This window comes from Homo sapiens, chromosome 2 (assembly GCF_000001405.40).
Source record: "Homo sapiens chromosome 2, GRCh38.p14 Primary Assembly".
NCBI lineage: Eukaryota > Metazoa > Chordata > Mammalia > Primates > Hominidae > Homo > Homo sapiens.
In genome coordinates, this window is record NC_000002.12 from 78,274,659 (window position 1) to 78,296,705 (window position 22,047).

Consider the following 22,047-nt stretch of genomic DNA (forward strand, 5'->3'; position numbering starts at 1 on the left):
TAAAACAGTGGGCCTTAACAAGCACATTCCTTTCCCTTCAGGTGCACTAAGATAGGGAGGCTAAAAGCAGACTCCGGGGGTACGCCTGCACCTGCAGAAAGATGTATGGGAACAGACACACAACTCTCCCTCCCATATAAGCACAACAAAGAGGCACAGAAGCAGTCCGAGCCTCTGATAAACTCTTCCACCCTGAATCCTTAAAAACTCTTGGGGAGCATCACACACCGGGGCTTGTCATGGGGTGGGGGGAGGGAGGAGGGATGGCATTGGGAGATATGCCTAATGTAGATGACGGGTTGATGGGTGCAGCACACCAACATGGCACGTGTATACATATGTAACAAGCCTTCACATTGTGCACATGTACCCTAGAACTTAAAGTATAATAATAATAATAAAAAAGAATAAGTCAAATTGTCCCTGTTTGCAGATGACATGATTGTGTATCGAGAAAACCCCATCGTCTCAGCCCAAAATCTCCTTAAGCTGATAAGCAACTTCAGCAAAGTCTCAGGATACAAAATCAATGTGCAAAAATCACAAGCATTCTTATACACCAATAACAGACAAACAGAGAGCCAAATCATGAGTGAACTCCCATTCACAATTGCTTCAAAGAGAATAAAATACTTAGGAATCAAACTTACAAGGGATGTGAAGGACCTCTTCAAGGAGAAATACAAACCACTGCTCACTGAAATAAAAGAGGTTAGAAACAAATGGAAGAACATTCCATGCTCATAGATAGGAAGAATCAATATCGTGAAAATGGTCATACTGTCCAAGGTAATTTATAGATACCATGCCATCCCCATCATGCTACCAATGAGTTTCTTCACAGAATTGGAAAAACCTACTTTAAAGTTCATATAGAACCAAAAAAGAGCCCGCATTGCCAAGTCAATCCTAAGCCAAAAGAACAAAGCTGGAGGCATCACGATACCTGACTTCAAGCTATGCTACAAGGCTACAGTAACCAAAATAGCCTTTTGGTACCAAAACAGAGATATAGACCAATGGAACAGAATGGACCCCTCAGAAATAACGCCGCATATCTACAACTATCTGATCTTTGACAAACCTGACAAAAACAAGAAATGGGGAAAGGATTCCCTATTTAATAAATGGTACTGGGAAAACTGGCTAGCCATATGTAGAAAGCTGAAACTGGATCCCTTCCTTACACCTTATACAAAAATTAATTCAAGATGGATTAAAGACTTACATGTTAGACCTAAAACCATAAAAACCCTAGAAGAAAACGTAGGCCATTCAGGACACAGGCATGGGCAAGGACTTCATGTCTAAAACACCAAAAGCAATGGCAACAAAAGCCAAAATTGACAAATGGGATCTAATTAAACTAAACAGCTTCTGCACAGCAAAAGAAACTACCATCAGAGTGAATAGGCAACCTACAGCATGGGAGAAAATTTTTGCAACCTACTCATCTGACAAAGGGCTAATATCCAGAATCTACAATGAACTCAAGCAAATTTACGAGAAAAAATCAAACAACCCCATCAAAAAGTGGGCTAAGGATGTGAACAGACACTTCTCAAAAGAAGACATTTATGCAGCCAAAAAACACATGAAAAAATGCTCATCATCACTGGCCATCAGAGAAATGCAAATCAAAACCACAATGAGATACCATCTCACACCAGTTAGAATGGCGATCATTAAAAAGTCAGGAAACAACAGGTGCTGGAGAGGATGTGGAGAAATAGGAACACTTTTACACTGTTGTTGGGATTGTAAACTAGTTCGACCATTGTGGAAGTCAGTGTGGTGATTCCTCAGGGATCTAGAACTAGAAATACCATTTGACCCAGCCATCCCATTACTGGGTATATACCCAAAGGATTATAAATCATGCTGCTATAAAGACACATGCACACATATGTTTATTGTGGCACTATTCACAATAGCAGAGACTTGGAATCAAGCCAAAGTCTATTAATCAAGCTTAATAGACTGGATTAAGAAAATGTGGCACATATACACCATGGAATACTATGCAGCCATAAAAAACGATGAGTTTATGTCCTTTGTAGGGACATGGATGAAGCTGGAAACCATCATTCTCAGCAAACTATCGCAAGGACAAAACACCAAACACCACATGTTCTCACTCATAGGTGGGAATTGAACAATGAGAATACATGGACACAGGAAGGGGAACATCACACACTGGGGACTGTTGTGGGGTAGGGGGAGGGGGGAGGGATAGCATTAGGAGATATTCCTAATGTAAATGACAAGTTAATGGGTGCAGCACACCAACATGGCACATGTATACATATGTAACAAACCTGCACGTTGTGCATATTTACCCTAAAACTTAAAGTATAATAATAATAAAATTAAAAAAATAATAATAATAATAAAAAGAAAAAAAAACTCTTATTCTATAAGAGAATGTAGCTCTGACCTAACTTGGCCAGCTGCCCCTCTCAGGTTTATTCAAAATAAACCTGTCACTGTTGACTGTCGAGCCGCCCTTCATGTTTCTCTCCTCTTTCTCTAATTGTTACATGGTCTATCGCATTATGCACTTTGTGATACCAAACCAAAATTAATATTTGAGGCTACATTCTACTAGAGTGGAACAAATTTAATCTTTAAATTTAAATGAGATGTGTTTTAGATTATGGCTACATCTATGTCAACACCTTTATTTCTTTTCCTCACCATCTCCCAGTTAAACAGAGTTCTCCATTTGCTTAGTTCCTATAACATTTTTAGTTTTATCTTCTATTCTCAGAATGTCACAGAATATTTGAAATTTAAAAGGTGGTTAAACCTATTTTGAGAAAATATTGTAAGAATCTATAAACGTATTTTATTCATATGTAACTGTCTTTGCAAATACTGTGTATGTGCTTTATTATAAAAGCAAATGACAGGCCAGGCGTGGTGGTTCACGTCTGTAATCCCAGCACTTTGGGAGGCCAAGGTGGGCAGATAGCTTGAGGTTAGAAGTTTGAGACCAGCCTGTACAACATAGTAAAACCCTGTCTCTACTAAAAATACAAAAATTAGCGGGGCATGGTGGTGCATGCCTATAATCCCAGCTCCTCAGGAGGCTGAGGCAGGAAAGTCACTTGAACCTGGGAGGTGGAGGTTGCAGTGAGCCAAGATCCTGCCACAGCACTCCAGCCTGGGCAACAGAGGGAGACTGTCTCTAAATAAATAAATAAATAAATAAATAAATAAAAGCAAATGACAGAGAATTATATTCCTTCAGGAGGAAAAAAATAAATCAGATAAACTCTTTAACAAATGATAAATTTATTTATAAAATAAAGGAAAATTACATAACGGAAATGAAATAAGACAAATATATGTTGTTGTAATTTAGGATCATTTAAAAGCAATTTAGTGAATATAAAATTCTGATTTTTACTCATCCTAAGACACATCTCCACAGCCAAATTTAGATTAAATTTGTAGATTTAGAAATAATATTATATATGATAAAAGTATCACTTCATGTTTAAAAAGCAATTCTTTCGCCCTTTTTAAAAATTTTTGAAAGGAAATATTTTTTTTCATACTTCTGATATTATGATCAATAAGGAAGGGTAAACTTTTCTAAAGGTGGAATTTTCATGCTTTATTGAAGGATAAGTGGAATTATATATGCATATATTTATGTATTCACATAAAGGTTGAAGGCTCTTAACTTGTGACAAGGTATTTCTCACCACATTTATAAAGTTTATAAACGCTCATATTCTAAGTTGATATCTCTCCACTCTTAAGAAATGCTACTTCAATTAGATTTCTACCCATTTTTCTTAAACAAATGTTACTGATATCAGATTCTACCCTTTTTATCTCTTAAAACTACATTAATTCAAAATAATATTTTTAATAAATTTCAATTTTAAAAACTTTGTGTTTGAGATGTTGATTACCTGATTACCTGGTATTTTATTCTTATAAATAATTCATTTTAACATGTCAAATCTCTGTTGATATTTATGCAATTTCAATTTTTACAAATAAATACAATATAAACTTAAAACTTGCACACTTTTTAAATTTAATTATAATGTTATTTTTAAAAAAATTTCCCTTAAGTCCAAGTTTATCATACTAATGCTTAAGTAAATTGTTCTTTGTTTGTTTTTTACATACTTCAAATATTAGAATTTCCAGAATCTGCTAATTTTTCTCATTAATCATGCTATTTCCAACTATCTTTATTAATCTTTGTCTTATGTTTTATTTCTCATATATGACTACATAATTATGTTACATATTAGCCCATTATTTTCTTGATGATTTAATATGTGAATTCTAATATGTAACATATTAATATAATTAACATAATCTAACAGATTAATAGCACATACTATATAATTTATATAACAATTATATATTAAATCTTTTATCCTATATATGTAATATATATAATTATTTTGGCAACGAATGGGAATAAAATGTAAAGCACTTAATCCTATCTCCAGTAGTAAGTGAGGATTAAGTGGGGGAAGGCAGGCTTCATATTTCAAAGTTAAACACAAGAAGAAATCACAGAGGAAGCTCTTTTAAAGTGTTGAGTATTAACTTAGAGATCAGTAGTCATTAGAAAGCATAAGATAGATCTTTATGTGATAGAAATTTTCCAGAGAATTAAGGGATTTTGATTCTTTGCAGGATATATTTGCTTCTTCTGTAATTCTTACATATCTTATATTTTGATATGAAAATAGAATATTTATTTAAAATATACCAGTGCCAGATATTTTATGCAATGGGAATAGTAACCAGTATAGTAGAAAGGGTATCTTGAGACATTTTTCCTGAACTTAGGAAAAATAGATAAATGGTTCTAATATAATGATTGCAATATAAGAGCAAATGTAAACAAAATTAAAAAGAAAATCAGAAGAAACTTTTATGTAGAATTATTTTAGGCGAGAGAAATTTGTAAAACAAATAGCAGAAAATTGCACTGATTTTGAGAAAAGACACGCATCTTCAAGTAGATGGGGCCCATTATGCACCAACTACATGGTCATTTATTTTCACAAAATTCTTGGTTATTTCAATATCCTTCTCTGTCGAAGTGCCCTACTCCATATTATCCCCTTACTTTGATGGCATTCCATAGATTTGCTCATATTCCTACAGACAAAAATTGCGATTGCAAGTGCCCCATTTTCTTTACAACAACTCCACCTCTCCACATCACTCCATCTTTCCATATTCATCCTATTACCTCAAAACCAACAATTCTCTGAGCTTCTCAGAAACCACAAATTATTACTGCTACAGCTTTTTACTGAATTTTACTTTTCTTCTTTTTCACCCAACCCAGTATTAATTCATTGCTCCAGTAGTCTAGTATTTCATTGTATATTCAGTCAACTTTTGTGCCCCTTTCTTGTTTTTTTATACTGCTTTGGGAGAAGCCAATATTCTGCCTGCCTTCTGCCTGGACCCCTGCTAGCATATTTGTTTAAAGAAATGACTTTTAGGTTGCAGGTGGTGGCTCACACCTGTAATTTCAACACTTTGCACTTTAAGAGGCCAAAGCAGAAGGATTGCTTGAGGCCAAGAGTTTGAAACCAGCCTGGGCAACGTAGTGAGAGATTGTGTCTCTATAAAAAATTAAAGAAAAAATAAATAGCTGGGCACGGTGCTGCACTGGTAGTCCCAGCTACTAAGAAGCCTGAGGCAGGAGGATGGCTTGAGCCCAGGATGTTTTGCCATTGCACTGCACTCCAGCCTCGGTGACAGAGTGAGACCCTGTCTCTATTTAAAAAAAAAAAAAAAGACAGAATGAAAAAGAAGAAAGCAAGAAAGCACAGAAAGCAAGAAAGCAAGCAAGTAAGCAAGCAAGAAAAAGAAAGAAAAAACAGAAGTTTATTTTCCACCCACACAACTCTGCTATAGGTTTGTCACTTTACCAGGGTATCTCACAACCAACCTACAATTCAGCATGCAGACTTAGCCCACTCTTTGATGGCACCATTTTAAAAGGTGGCTTCCATTGACTTCAGAGGAGAAATTACACATGCCTTTTCTACTCAGAGTCAGTTGGCAGAACACATCACATTGAGCCAACTAATTGCAAAAGTGCTTGGAAGAGTAACTTCTTTTTACTCAATAAAGAGAGATTTGACCATGAGTGTGCACAGAAATAGTTTGCATAGCACTTGCCTGTATTCATATTATATTTCCTTAGTCTAAACATTCTCTCATGACAAGTATTCTATACTTTCTTCTTTCTCCTCAACTATCTGACAAATACTTCTTAATTCTTACTTTCAACTATGTTTTTCTTTCTACAGAACATAGGATCAACTTAAAAACTCCACAAAAGCCCACAGTCACATCTCCATTTATGTGTGCTTGTATAAATAATTACCTTCATATTTGTTGCCATAATTGAAACTTTTATTCTTGTATATAGGATTAATGTAATATTTAAGCACTAGAACCCTTCTGATAGGATTTGGCTGTGTTCCCACCCAAATCTCACCTTGAATTGTAATAATCCCCACAAGTCAAGGGCGGAGCCAGGTGAATGTAATTGAATCATGGTGGTGGTTTCCCCAATACTGTTCTCATGGTAATGAATAAGTCTCACAACATCTGATGGTTTCATAAGTGGAAGTTCCCCTGTACAATCTCTCTCACCAGCTGCCACGTAAGACATGTCTTGCTTTCCTTTCCACCATGATTGTGAGGCCTCCCCAGGCATGTGAAACTGTGAGTCAATTAAACCTCTTTCCTTTACAAATTACCCAGTCTCGTATATGTCTTTGTTAGTAGCGTGAGAACAGACTAACACGGTAAATTTGTACCAGGACTGGGATCTAGGTACTTGTTTAATGGCTTTGACCAAAATACTGATAGTGATATGGACAGTGAAGTCCAGGCTGAGGTGGTCTCGAATGGAAATGAGGAACTCATTGGAAACTGGAGTAAAAGTCACTTTTGCTGTGTTTAGCAGAGACTGGTGGCATTTTGCCCTACAGACCTGTGGAACTTTGGACTTGAGAGAGATGATTTAGAGTATCTGGCAGAAGAAATTTCTTAAGTGACAAAGCATTCAAGAGGAAACAGAGCATGAAAATTTGGAAAATTGCAGCCTGACAATGCAGTAGAAAAGAAAAGCCCATTTTCTGGAGAGAAATTCAAGCCAGCTGCAGAAATATGCCTAAGTACAGAGGAGACAAATGTTAATCATAAAGACAATGGGGAAAATGTCTCCAGGGCATGTCAGAGGACTTCATGGCAGCTACTCCCATCACAGGCCCAGAGGCCTGGGAGGAAATAATGAATTCCTGGGCCAGGTGCAGGGCCTTGCTTCTTTGTGCAGCCTTGGGACTTGGTGCCTTGTGTCCCAGCTGTGGCTAAAAGGGGTCAAGGTACATCCCAGGCTGTGGCTTCAGAGGATGCAAGCCCCAAGACTTGGCAGCCTCCACATGGTGTTAACCCTATGGGTGTATAGAAGTCAAAAATTGAGGTTTGCGAGCCTCCACCTAGATTTCCGAAGATGTACGGAAATGCCTGGGTGTGCAGGCAGAAGTGTGCTGAAGGGGCTGAGCCTTCATGGAGAACCTCTGCTAGGGCAATGCAGAAAGGAAATGTTGAGTGGAAGCACTGACACAGAGTCCCCACTGGGCACTGCCTAGTGGAGCTGTGAGAAGAGGGCCACAGGCCTCCAGATGCCAGAATGGTAGATCCACTGACAGCTTGCACCATGCACCTGGAAAAGTCACAGACAATGCCAGCCTGTGGAAGCAGCCAGGAGGGGGGCTGTACCCAGAAAAGCTACTGGGGTGGAGCTGACAAGACCATGGGAACCCATCTCACGCATCAGTGTTAACTGGATGTGAGACATGAAATCAAAGGAGGTCATTTTGCACCTTTAAGATTTGACTGCCACATTGGATTTTAGATTTGCACAGGGCCTGTATCCCTCTGTTTTGGCCAATTTCTCCCATATGAAAAAGGTGTAGTTATCAGCTGCTTGTATCCCCACTGTATCTAGGAAGTAACTAACTTTCTTTTGATTTTACAGGCTAATAGACAGAAGGGACTTGCCTCGTCTCAGATGAGACATTGGACTGTGACTTTTGTGTTAAGGCTGAAATGAGTTAAAATTGGGGGTCTGATGGTAAGGCATGATTGGTTTTAAAATGTGAAAGCATGAGATTTGGGAGAAGCCAGGGCAGAATGCTATGGTTTGGCTGTGTCCCCACCTAAATCTCACCTTGAATTGTAATAATCCTCACCTGTCAAGGGCAGGACCAGGTAGAGATAATTGAATCATGGTGGCAGTTTCCCTCATACCGTTCTCATGGTGGTGAATAAGTCTCACAAGATCTGATGATTTTATAAGTGGGAGCTCCCCTGCACAAGCTCTCTTGCCTTCTGCCATGTAAGATGTGTCTTGCTTCCCCTTTGCCTTCTGCCATGATAATGAGGCCTCCCCAGGCATGTGGAACTGTGAGTCAATTAAACCTCTTTCCTTTATAAATTAACTAGTTTTAAGTATGTCTTTATTAGCAGTATGAGAACAGACTAATGCATCTTCTATTCTTACTAATTTAAGGAACTCAGTTCAGAAATTCCCCCTTTTATCTTCTTATCTTCATTTCTTTTAGCTCATGAATTACACCTAGCAGCATATAAACATTCTATAATATTTTCCATTAAGGAAAATATCTTCTTGAGAATCCAACACTTTAGCCATCAGCCCATGACTCTTCACTTTTCAGCACAATGTTTTCAAAATTATTCCCTATCCTGTCTTCTTTATTTTCTCATTTTTCTTTCTCAGACCTATTCTAATTGTATTTGAATAAAAACTCATCAAAAACATTTGAAAAACATTCTGGAAATATATAACTAATTAGCTGAAATGTTTATTCACTTTACCAAACAATTCTCTGTATCCTAAGAAATTATATATGATTTTATATCTACAGATATATCAATAGATACATAGATGTGATAAAAATATAAGCACTGTGAAAAATTTTGTACTATTGTGATGACACAGATGTATGCAGATTGGGTGAATTTTCAATTGCAAAACTTGAAGCAAAAATATAGAAATTAAATTTATTTTTAACAAAAATATTTAACATTTTAGCCAAGGTTCTATTTATCCTGGGAGTAGAAAAATTAATGCCATAAATCCAAGGAAAATGCAGCCACTTTCATGTATTTTTCAAATTTCATGAAAAAAGTAGCCATGATGGTAAGAATGAAGATTATGCATGGGCTCAGAAACATGAAATTCCACACATCAAAGCCAACCTGCCTACAGCACTGCTGAGTGCCCAATCTGTCAGCAGCAGAGATCAACACTGACCCCCTGATATGGCACCATTCCAGCTACCTAGTGGCAGGTCAATTAAACTGGGCTATTTCCAACATGGAAGGGGAAGTGTTTTGCCTTTAGTAGAATAGATACTAACCCTGGAGAAGAATTTGCCTTCCTTGCATGCAATACCTCTTCCAAAACAACCACCCATGGACCTACAGAATTGAGTAAGCCTATCCGCAATCATTTTATTCCATGTAGCATTGCTTCTGGTCAAGGAATTCAATTTAGCCAAAGAAGTGTGGCAGTGGGTACATGTTCATGGAATTCACTAGTCCTACCATGTTTCCTGCAACCCTAAAGCTTCTGGCTTGCTAGGACAGTGGAAAGGCCTTTAGAAGATTCAGTTACAGCACAAGCTAGGTGGCAGTACCTTGCAGGGTTAGGGCAAGGTCCCCCAGAGGTGTCTATATACTCCAAATTAACATTCAGTATTTGGCACTGTTCCTCTAATAGGCAGAATTTATGGGCCCAGGAATCATGGGGTGAAATTGGACACACTAGCAAATTTTTTACTTGCTGTTCTTGTGCCCTTATGCTCTAGGGGCCTGTAGGTCTTACTTTCAGAAGGAGGGATAGTTCTACCAGGAGACACACAGTGATTTCATTGACCTGGAAAGTAAGACTTCCAGCAGGCCACTTTGGGCTCCTCATACCTCTGAATCAATAGGCAAAGAAGGAATTACAATGCTGTTTGGGATAATTGATCCTGATGAACAAAGGGAAATTGGACTACTACTGTAACATAGATGTAAGGAAAAATATGTCTTAAATATAGGAGATTCCTTAGAGTGTCTCTCAGTGTTACCGTGCCCTGCAATTAAGGTCAATGGAAAACTACAACAACTCAATTCAGGCAGGACAACTAACGGCCCAGCCCCTTCTGGAATGAAGATTTGGGTCACCATACCAGGTGAAGAAGCAAGACCAGCTAAGGTGCTTGCTGAAGACAAAGGGAATACAGAATGAGTAGCAGAAAGAGGCAGATATAAATACCAGCAATTAACATGTGACCAGATACATCAGTGAGGACTGTAATGTCATACTTTTTTTTTAAATTTTGTTGTGCATATGTCTGTGTGTATTTCGGTTATATATCTATTCATATGTCCACATTGAAGTCAAAAATTATAGCTATGGCTATAATTTCCTGACATCATTATTGCCAAATATAACTTTAATTCCTATTTAACTTTAATTCGATTTAAATTCCTCAAAGCAAAGCCTTCAGAATATTTTTGTTACAACTAAAATTAAAAGTCATTGTGAGCTATTGAGCACACCAATTATCTTTACCAAATTTTAATTGATAGTAAATAAGAACTTCAAGTAAACGAATTAACTTCTTTATTTTAAGGAATAGCAGTTTAAGAATGCCTAATGAGTTCCAATCACCACTGATATTGTAATAAATGTGCAAACAGTTTTATCATTAAATAATTTCATCAGAATATAGGTAATAGATTCATTATACTCACTATATTTATCTTTTTAGTAAGGTTTTCTCAGTCATCTAATTCAACTGATTCTGTTAATGACTGCCCCAATATAGCTTCTCCCAACTTCCTTTGAAAACAAAACAAACAAATATAAAATGCCTCATCCCTCAAACTTTCCAAGATTATTAGCAGTGGATTTCTGGTCAGTACAGTATTGCGAGTTAATATTTTGAAATTCTCAGAACCAAATAGAGAATAATGATATGTTAAATATTAAACTAAAATGAAATAAATATATCTACATTCAATAACAAAATATACATGTGAAAGAACAGAATATGGATTATAAACAAAAGGGTTCCTAGAACTGAAGCTGATTGACGGCTGCCTTTTATTCTGTAAATATAAATGAGAAGTAGCTGCTGAAAAGAAAAACAACAACAAAAATTGTTGATTCAAGATAAGGAACAACATCAGCTTCATTGCTTAAAATTTGAAGCTGTATATTCATCTTAAAAGAAGCTGAAAAACACAGCACGTGTTTTTGGATTATATAAAGGGGCTTAGAAAGAGAAGTTGGAGTGAACATATGCAAACATGCCGCCAAGAAAGACAAGGCACCTACTGAAAGGACAATCCAGCAACTGAATTTAGACTATTCCAAATATCATTATACTATGGGATCTCTGACCCACAAATATAAGACTTAGTTGTGTATCGCAAGTTCAGGAGGAGGCAACAGACAATGCCATTTGCATGGATGAGAATACTCAAAATCACGTCACATGCGGCATATCATAAATAACCACATCAACTTTTTCCAAATTTATATATAAATTTCAAGCAGCTTCAATAAAGACATGTAAAATATTAAGCTGATCACAATTATATAAAGAAGAGTACAGAAGTAGAAATAACCAAGATTATATTTTAAGAAGAAATATGAGAAAAATTGACCTTTACTTAACAGTTACTAAGACTTATTGAAGTTATAGACAGACATATTGAAGTTATAAAAAAAATACTGTGGAGTTGGCAGAGTGAAAAGCTAACAGACCAATACTAAAAAATAGAGAACAAAATAAACTGACCCAAACATTTAAGGACAATTGTGACAGAGAAGGAAAGGGCATGACAAATCAGTGGGGATTAATTCAAGTATTCAATAAATTGTATACAATAATATGATCTCCATATAAAAATGAAAATTATGCTGCCACCTCATAGCATACAAAAAATCCAGATAGATTATAAAACTATTGGTAAAATGAAAATTTTGAAACTTTTGTAAGTATTCATAGTAGTATGTTTTCATGTCATCTAGAAATTGAAGCATTTCTCAACGACACAAAAATACAAGCCATTAAGAAAGAAAACTTGATCAGACTAAAATTTAAAACGTATTATTAGTATGGCAAAATACTCTATAAGGTAAGGTTAAAAAAATGCCACACTGGGGAAAATATATTTTCAATGTATATAACCAACAAAATTGAATACTCAGAATTTACAGAAATTTATTTCATTTAAAAAAGATTCAACAGCCTAAATGGAGAAACGTACAAAGGATATAAACAGACAACTAACAGAGGAGGAGACTAAAATAGTCAACGTGTATGCGAAAAGTACTTTTCACTAGGAATCAAGAAAGCATAAAACAAGTAAATTCATGTCTATGAGATTAGCAAAATTGCAAAGATTTACATTGTCACTTTCTATTAAGGATTTGGAAAGGTGGAGCTCTGTTACTGTAGAATAGGATATAAAGACCAATTCACTTTTGATAACAATTTGGCAATATATTTTAAATTTTAAGATCGAAATATCTAACTGCCTACTGAGAGAGGCAGGAGACCACCAAATGCCTAGGCAGATAGGGGCAGGTCCCCAGTAAAACTCCACCTTCAAGCTGAAGACAGTTTAAAGCATGAAATGCAAGCTACAAGTTAGATCCTCAGAATGGATTGAGAACTTGTCTTCCTGTTTGACATGCTTTCCTCTGATTGATCCCCACCCTTCACCTATTTTACATATACCTACCCTTTCCTCATTGGTTTTCTACATTGTTGTGCCTACCTTTGAGTGGTGTCTTCACTTTAACCTTTTTTTGCATACTCACAAACCAATCAGCACACTTATGAATCCATAAGAGGCCCCAGAACCAGCCACCTGGGAGACTGTCCCACCTTTGGATAGGGGAACCACCTCCCATGTCCCCTCTTTGCTGAGAGCTTGCCTTTCGCTTAATAAATTTTACTGTACTCCCTCTACGGTGTCTGCGCACCTAATGCTTCCTGGTGAGACAAGAACTTAGACCAACCTGACCTAAGGAGCAGAAAGACCGTAACACTATCCATTGTTTCCTTTATGAATCTTTCTTGGATAAATGTTTACATATACACAAAAATATACATGCACAAGAAAAATCATGGAATATGCTTATGATATTGAAATACCAATTTATGTTTACCACTAAAAGAACTCCAGCAAATTTTTCAAAGTATCTTCACAATTATTTATGATATTGAAAACTGGGAAACAACATAGTACCTACCAGGTGAAGAAAACATAAATAAAATATAGAATATTCATTTATTGAATCAATACAGCACTTACAACTTATAAACTGTATTTCTCTACAGATCTAATTCTAAAACATCATATTTCTTGAATAAAAAAGTCAAAAAGCATGAATAGTATGATAGATTTATGTAAATGTTAAAAAGCATAATACTATGTTAAAGAATAATTACATTAGTACAGATATATAGATGCTTAAAATATACAGAAATGGATTTCCTTTAGAGAGAGAGGAATGAATAAATATTAATTCAAACAATGTTACAAGTGGGGGTACAAAGTATGTTTCAAAGACAGCTGTATTTGTGTCATCTCATTTTATTAGCTGATGGAAAATGCAAAAAAATATGGCAGAAGACTTAGTGGAACATGTTGTTCATTATATTAGTTTCATTTTTTATTATTTAATTTAATTTAATTTATATTTATTTATTTATTTATTTATTTATTTATTATTGTTATTTTTTTGAGACGGAGTCTGGCTCTGTTGCCCAGGCTGGATTGCAGTGGTGCGATCTCGGCTCACTGCAAGCTCCGCCTCCTGGGTTCACGCTATTCTCCTGCCTCAGCCTCCAAGTCGCTGGGACTGCAGGCACCCACACCACGCCCGGCTAATTTTTTTTTTTTTGTATTCTTAGTAGAGACAGGGTTTCACCGTGTTAGCCAGCATGGTCTCGATCTCCTGACCTCGTGATCCACCCGCCTCGGCCTCCCAAAGTGCTGGGATTACAGGCGTGAGCCACGGCGCCCAGCCCTATTTATTTATTTTTTGAGAAAGAGTTTCTCTCTTGTCGCCCAGTCTGGAGTGCAATAGTGCCATCTCGGCTCACTGCAACCTCCGCTTCCTCGATTCAAGCCATTCTCCTCCTGCCTCAGCCTCCCAAGTAGCTGGGATTACAGGCATGTGCTGTCATGCCCGGCTAATTTTGCATTTTTAGTAGTGATGGGGTTTTACCATGTTGGTCAGGCTGGTCATGAACTCCTGACCTCAGGTGATCCACCCATCTCAGCCTCCCAAAGTGCTGGGATTACAGGAATAAGCTACTGCTCCCAGCCACTTTTTTGTTATTTTAAATGAATAACATTTACAGAATTTTGCTAGCCAATATTTTTTAGAAGTTCACAGATTAAATTAGAATACGCTATTATGGAGATAGAACTTCAAGGAATGGTGTGGGGACAGTGGAGAAACAGAATAAATTCAGTAAGGCTTCAGTGAAAGTGAGATTTTATTATTATTATTATTTTTATTATTATTATTATTATTATTATTATTATTATTATTATTATTATTCCCCACTGTTTTCTTCCCTGAATCCGGGAAACAATCTCTGCCGATCAGATAAAAAGACAGCTAATTCTATCTGCTGTACTTCTACTAGTCTGATATCTTTCTGCTCATATAGTATTTTTCATATTTGATAAGGGGATAATATTTTAAGAGAATAAGTCAATATAAAATAAGTGGCATGGAGAATAACTGGCACTGATGTAAGCAATATTTAACAACTTCAGTCATTTTTATATCATCTTAACTATATAGTGTACCTGCACACCACTGTGTTACTATTACTTATTTAAATCCACTTGTTTCTCAATATTTTTAAAAAAATACTGAGAATTATATCTCATTTCATTTAAAGAAATTCCCAGCTGGGCTCGGTGGCTCATGCTTGTAATCCCAGCACTTTGGGAGACCGAGGCGGGTAGATCATTTGAGGTCGGGAGTTGGAGGCCTGCCTAACCAACATGGTGAAACCCTGTCTCTACTAAAAATACAAAAAAATTAGCAGGATATGGTGGTGCATGCCTGTAATCTCAGCTACTTGGGAAGCTGAGGCAGGAGAATCCCTTCAACCCAGGAAGCGGAGGTTGCAGTGAGCCAAGATAGTGCCACTGCACTCCAACCTAGGTGACAGAGTGAGACTGTCTTAAAAAAAAAACAAAACACCCATATCACTTGCCAAATTAAATGTAAAATAATGCAATTTAAAATAGATCAAATCATATAATTAAATTAAAAACATATTAAAATGAGATAGATTACAAAACAAAAGTCTTGACCTAGTTTGCAAAGATATGTATCTATAAATAATTTAAAAGAAAAGCATGAGGCTGAAAACAGTCAAAGCATTTGATAATTGATTGATGTGACCTAGTTAAAAATTAGAAATTATAACACAAGAATTTTAATTCTGTCCTACAGTTATGATGCTCTATATCTTGAGATTTTCTACTCATAGATATCTAGTCACAAATGGTCAAAATTGTTTAACTGTGATTTCTCCTAGGATAGGTTATTATGCATAAATTTCTTAATAAAATAGAAATTGTGTGTAACCAACTCACCTCAAAAATTCATCAGAACAAGCTTCAGATTCCATCTGTCATCTGATTAGTTCTTATCAGGTAATGCTCACAGAATAACAGCAAAGTTCCTCATCCACACACCAACACTAATTCGTTTGGGAAAATAAGGCTTTTAAATGGCTTACCAAAGCCATTTAAAAATCTCTTCCTGAAGTTCAATATATTTTTAGTGAGTTCTTAGATGAAACTATAATCCAGTTACAAAAGTCTACACGTATTTCACCAATTTTTTTAATCATCAAGTTAAATTTTCTGATATAAATGTGTCTCTAAAGATAAGTGAAATAACAAAGTCTGCTAACATGCAAAGCTAAACAAAGGATGCATATACTATCTCTGAAACAAAAGTCTTGTTCAGAAGACCTTAGATTCTTTGAATAATGTAGGCAGAATATGTTAGTGTAGAAAAGGCCAACAAACAAGCATCACTGTAAAAGGAGTTGTTTGTGGTCTAACAGAAAGAGAGATAAAGAGACAGAGGGGCATAGGGAGAAAGAGAGAGAATAAAAATTGAATGGTCTGTTATTAATATGATTTACACATTTCTTCATGTAGTGTATGTGGGGAAGTGGGCTTTCATGTGTGTATATTTGAGTCCATTCTGCACCCAAAGCCGCAAAATCGAAGTAACTTCATAACTTGGATTTGAGGAACAATACTCACATTAGACTCACTATACCTTTAGCATGCTGTGTGCATTTTCTAAAACCTAGTTTCTAGGCTGAGTTTCATTTGTTTACAAATAAGTAAGTTGGCAATCAGTTTGAAAATGATCTTTTTCAGTTATAGGTATGGGACAAATTTACAGACTTTTTTATTTAGAAATTGGAAATTCTTACGCAGCTACTATCTGATAAATGCCAAAGAGTTGGCTGAATTTATTTATTTGTCTTATCAACAGTTGTCAGTGAAGAGTATTAGCTTTGTTACTAGGTGTAATCATTGATAAGATTCCAGTCATGTCTATAATTCTGTAACATATCATATTGTTTAACTTACATCAAACATTGTGCATATTTTGCTGCTGATTATATGTTTACCATTAAAGTAACCCCAGCAAATTTTAAAAAGAATCTTCACAATTACTTCTGTGGTTTCAATGTTTTTTGCTTTTGGCCATTTTAAAATTTTTATAGATTCAGGGGATATATATGCAAGTGTGTTATGAGGATATATTGCATAATAGTGAGGTTTAGGCTTTGAGTGTACCCATTACACAAATTGTAAACATTGTACTCAATAGGTAATTTTTATGTTAGTCCTTTATAGGATGCATAGTTGGCAAATATTTTCTCCCATTCTGTAGGTTGTCTATTTACTTTGTTATTTCTTTAACTGTGCAGAAGATTTTATTGTAATTAAATCCCATTTGTTTATTTTTGCTTTTGTTGCATTTGCTTTTGAGATTTTAGTTATAAATTCTTTGTGTCGGCCAACGTCCAGAAAAGTTTTTCCTAGGTTTTCTTCTTGTATTTTTGTAGCTTCAGGTTTTATGTTTAAGTCTTTAATTCATCTTGAGTTAATTTTTGTATACAGTGAAAGGTATGAGTCCAGTTTCATTATTCTGCATATGACTATCCAATTTTCCCAGTGCCATTTATTGCATAAGGTATGTTTTCCTCATTGTGTTTTTATCAACTTTGTTGAAGACCAGTTGCTTATAGATAGGTGGCTTTATTTCAGGTTCTCTATTCTATTCCACTGATCTATGTGTCTATTTTTGAACCAGTATCATGCTATTTTGGTTACATCAGCCTTTTAGTATACTTTGAAGTCATGTAATGTGATGCCTCTGGCTTTGTTCTTTTGCTTAGGATTGCTTTGGTTATTTGCACTTTTGTTTTAGTCCATATAAATTTTAGTTTTATTTTTGTTAATTCTGTGAAAAATGACAATTGATAATTTAATAAGAATTGTGTTGAATCTGTATATTACTTTGGGCAGTATGGCCATTTTAATGACATTGATCCTTCCAATCCATGAGCATGGGGTGTTTTTTTCATTTGTGTCATCTACGATTTATTTTATCAGTGTTTTCTAGTTCTCCTTGTAGAGATTTTTCATCTCCTTGATTAAAGGTATTCCTAGGTATTCAATTTTTTTTGTGGCTATTGTGAATGCGATTGAATTCTTGGTTTGGTTCTCAGATTGCACGTTATTGGTATATAGAAATGCTACTGATATTTGTACATTGATTTTATATCCCTATCAAATACAGGAGTATAAATGATACTGGTTTCCTATTATCATTCTAATTCTCACTGCATATTTATTTTTATGATTATTGAACGTTTATTATTTCTAAAACATAGGTTTTGCAAAATAGTTCTTTGCTTTATTTTTTGGCTTTAAAATTATACCACAAATGGAAAGATTTATTATCAGAATTTATGGATGATTCTTTATAGATTAGTGAAAATAAAATAGACCTAGTCTCTTTGCCAGCCCCCCAAAGATCAAATGTATAATGTTAGTGTAAATTTTTATGCAGTTATTTGCTGAGTACCAGAATACTTCTAAATTATTCACTAAATTGGTATTCATATATATACACAAAGATTATAGGAGTATTTTATTATAATTACCATGAGTATTTAAATTCAATACCTTTGTAATTTTAAAATTCTATTTTTAAGCACAGCCTAACAACACTTCAAAAACCATCATCATCACTATGACAGCAACAAAACAAAGTCCCAATTACTTTTATTTACTATACATGCTTTTACAAACTTGATTATTTAAATAACTATTCTTTCTAAAATTGGTCTTTAGACATTACTAAAAAGAATGCAGAAGGTGTATAGAAATTTAGTTGTCAAAAATATATATCTATGATCCATATCATCTATGTCATTCATACTTCCAGATATCTATAGAAGATATGGCAACATATTATCCCCAAGTAAAGCATTGAGTTAATGATAATTAATCACATTCATTTTACTTTTGTAGATTTGGACCAATTTAGAGATACAATACATATTTTAATTTGATTTTTACTTTTCCTATCTATCTATCTATCTATCTATCTATCTATCTATCTATCTACCTACCTACCTACCTATCTACCTCCCTGCCTCCCTACCTACATACCTACCTACCTATACATCTCCACACACATACATGACTGGAAGGGTAGTTCGTTCCAATGTTCTCATATTTCAGATAAAGGGATTCCACTAAAGCTGTGGTCCTTGTCATTCGTTGCACATTGAAACAACCTGGAGAGCTTAAAAATCTGTTTCCTCCAGAGATTCTGATTTGTCTCGTCAGGTCTCCAGGCGACTCTATTATGATTCCTAGATAGAGAACCACTGCACTAGAGCAACCCTCCAAGCTTCTTATGCAACTATTTCACTCTCTTTTAATGAAAAAAATAGCCGTAGAAGACTCTTTTCTCTTATTCCCTTTCTAGATGTTACTGTCCTTGCTTAAATATGCCCAATAATGGTAAATGGTAAAGGTAAGTTATAAAGTCCTGTATAATAATACAAAACTAGAAAGGTGTTAAAGGGAAGTGGCTGATAGCTAAAGATACATGCAGTGTCATTTCCACTTCCCTAAACAAAACCATTTTTTTTGACAGAAATATAGACCATGACCAGACAGCCAAACAACATGGGATTGGGTAATTTTTGAGGTGCAGAAAGAGAGACAGAGAGAGATAAATGTTATGAATGAGATATTAAGAGAGTAAAGGAAAAGCTTCTGTACCAGGAAATATATTTACACTGCAATAAATATGTAGTCTGTAATACAGGAACCTGTGGCTCTTTTGTGAGGACTTTGGCACTGAAATAGTAATTCAAGCTTTAAAAGAGCCATGAAATACTAAATAACTTCAATTTTGTGCCTGTATTTTATGAGATCATCAAACACTTCAAGTAAATTACATCTTTAAAATCAATTTCTCTCTTCAGCCGATTATCTATTATCCTGTATGATTGAAGCTTGCATCTCTTAACTGGTGTATTATCCAAAACAAAGTCAAACCCAAAGTTCTTATTTAATGACAGCACTTCAGCACTTTGAAGAAATAGAAAATAAAAATGCTAATCTATATACAGCACTTTGTGCTGTAGTGCTGGGCTTTTTATATTTATGTGGAGAGAGTAATTGGAAATGAAAGAAAATAGTGAGCTCGAAGTATAGGAAATGGCCTAGGTACAGAAATTGGGGACTTCCTCTGCCATGTACTAGCTACCTTATATGGACAAGTCAATTAACCTCCTTGAACTGATTTCTTCTCAGTTACAAAATGGGAATAAGATATAATATCTATGAAAGTATTTAAATACAGATAGATACAGACAAGCAATTATTATGTTACTATATTTTTTTCATTATATGTAAATAGAATGGACTAGCTTCAAGAACCAGGATAAGAAAGATAGCAAAACTTACTAATATATGATATTCATATGAAGGTATTTAATAAAGTATAAGGTAGAATGCTATGAATACGAATGTTAGCTGTAGAAAGAATTAGAAGTGTCAAGAAAATTGGAGGATTACAGTGAAGTAAGAATATTCTGTGGTTAGGATTTGATAGTCATGAGCTATTCAAAGGGACATATAAAGTCTAGAATGGGCATGGTATAACTGGAGGGAGTGTTAACAGGTGCTAAGCAGTGTAATTCATGTTTCCTGAGTGATAGACAGTGCCCTGCAGACAAAGGTAGATGTTGAAAGTTTTAGGAAAAATAACATTAGCTGTGATAAAATGGACTTTTTGAAAAAAGCCTATTAAGAATGGTCTCTTAGGAATCTGTGGCATTTTTCTTTACAGGCCCTAGGGATTAAAGAAATTTTTTTCTACTGAACTCCATGGCTAATTTTCTTAAACAACAGGCCTAATTATGCCACTGCCATGCTCAATTAACATCTGTAACTCGTTGTATGCCAAATTAATTATAAATTTATTAACCTGGCACTTAAGCCCCTCCACAGATCCTCAATCTATTTTTGCCAGTAATGCTACTCTGTCACTCATTCCCAAATGAACCTTATGATCAAATCAAATTTAACTGTGACTGTTTCTCAGAAAACCTCATGTTTTGTTGCTTCCAGGCTTTTGCTCAATTTGTTTCACTGTTCTTATGTCTTTTCCACCAGTAGATGTAATAATGACAATTACTATCATAGCAATATTAATAATAGCTAACTTTGAACTATATACCAGGGACAGTGCTACATGCTTTATAAATATTTTCTCATTTAAACTTAAGAGCATCACTGCGTTAACATGCTATTATCGCTATCATATATACTGTATTTGAAGCCTTACAAAGGTTTTATTGCTTGCTCAATTTCATTACAACAATGATGGAATAATAATTCAATCTAAGAATGCAGAGTTCAGAACAACTATATTTTACTCTCTCAATACAGATTTAAAGAGAGGGTAGAATTCAACTTTTCTTTCATTTCAAATGCCTCCTTTCAGTATTGACTTCATGGTGTATTTTTTTTTTCAGGAAGTTAATTGTTCCTCTTTTGAAACATCAAATCCCACAAAGCATTTTTATTGTTCTTCTTATACAAATACACTTTGTATTGTAAAAATGTGTTCATTTGCCTAAGTGTCAAGATAAATACTAGTAGCTTGAGCAAAAGGAGTGTTTCTGATTCACCTTCATGTCCTGTGAAGCACATAACCAAAAGTGTGTATATATATAGAGAGAGAGAGACAGACAGAGAGAGAGAGTAGGTACTCAATAAATAATTGTTGAATTAAAAATTTCAAATGATTCCCTAGTGGCAGAACTGTACTAAGTACATAATATTTTCTCAATATTTTTATAACCAAGATCTGCTAATTTATAATTTAACCTTTTTTGCGATTTATCAAGATAGACCCACGGATAGTTAAAGGACATGATTTCATATGTCCCTGAGCATTGTGGAAAGACTCATGCAGAATAAGAATTTGTACCAATTTTTTTTCCATTTGATATCCTGATATTTTTGGAGAAAAACAATGAACTCTTCATAACAGAACCATAGGAAAACACTCAACAACACTGGAAGCAATAATTATGAATCTAAAGGGGGATTCAAAACAGCAGGAAGCTAGATTGAACTGTAGTTATTTAATGCTGAGTACTCTTACCCAGATGTACTAGCCTAAAAAATGCTAGAGAATAGAATAGGGTTTAAAACTTTTTATGCTGTAATGTTCAATATGCTATGCTATCTAATAACTACTACTAAAGAATTTGTCTGGAAGACCAAAGATATGATATAACACAGAGATACAGATGAACTGGAAATACAATGCTAGGGTTGACTTTA

The 22,047-nt window shown here is 35.1% G+C and overlaps 1 long non-coding RNA gene across 1 annotated transcript in view; it reads right to left on the bottom strand.

The window, feature by feature from the left end:
* Window positions 1-16,073, bottom strand: part of LOC101927967 (uncharacterized) — a 547,036-nt gene extending 530,963 nt beyond the window's left edge. Inside the window, exon 1 of the long non-coding RNA NR_110288.1 lies at window positions 15,730-16,073. This is a non-coding gene — a long non-coding RNA (uncharacterized LOC101927967). The remainder of the gene's footprint in view (window positions 1-15,729) is intronic.
* Window positions 16,074-22,047: the final 5,974 nt, after the last annotated feature.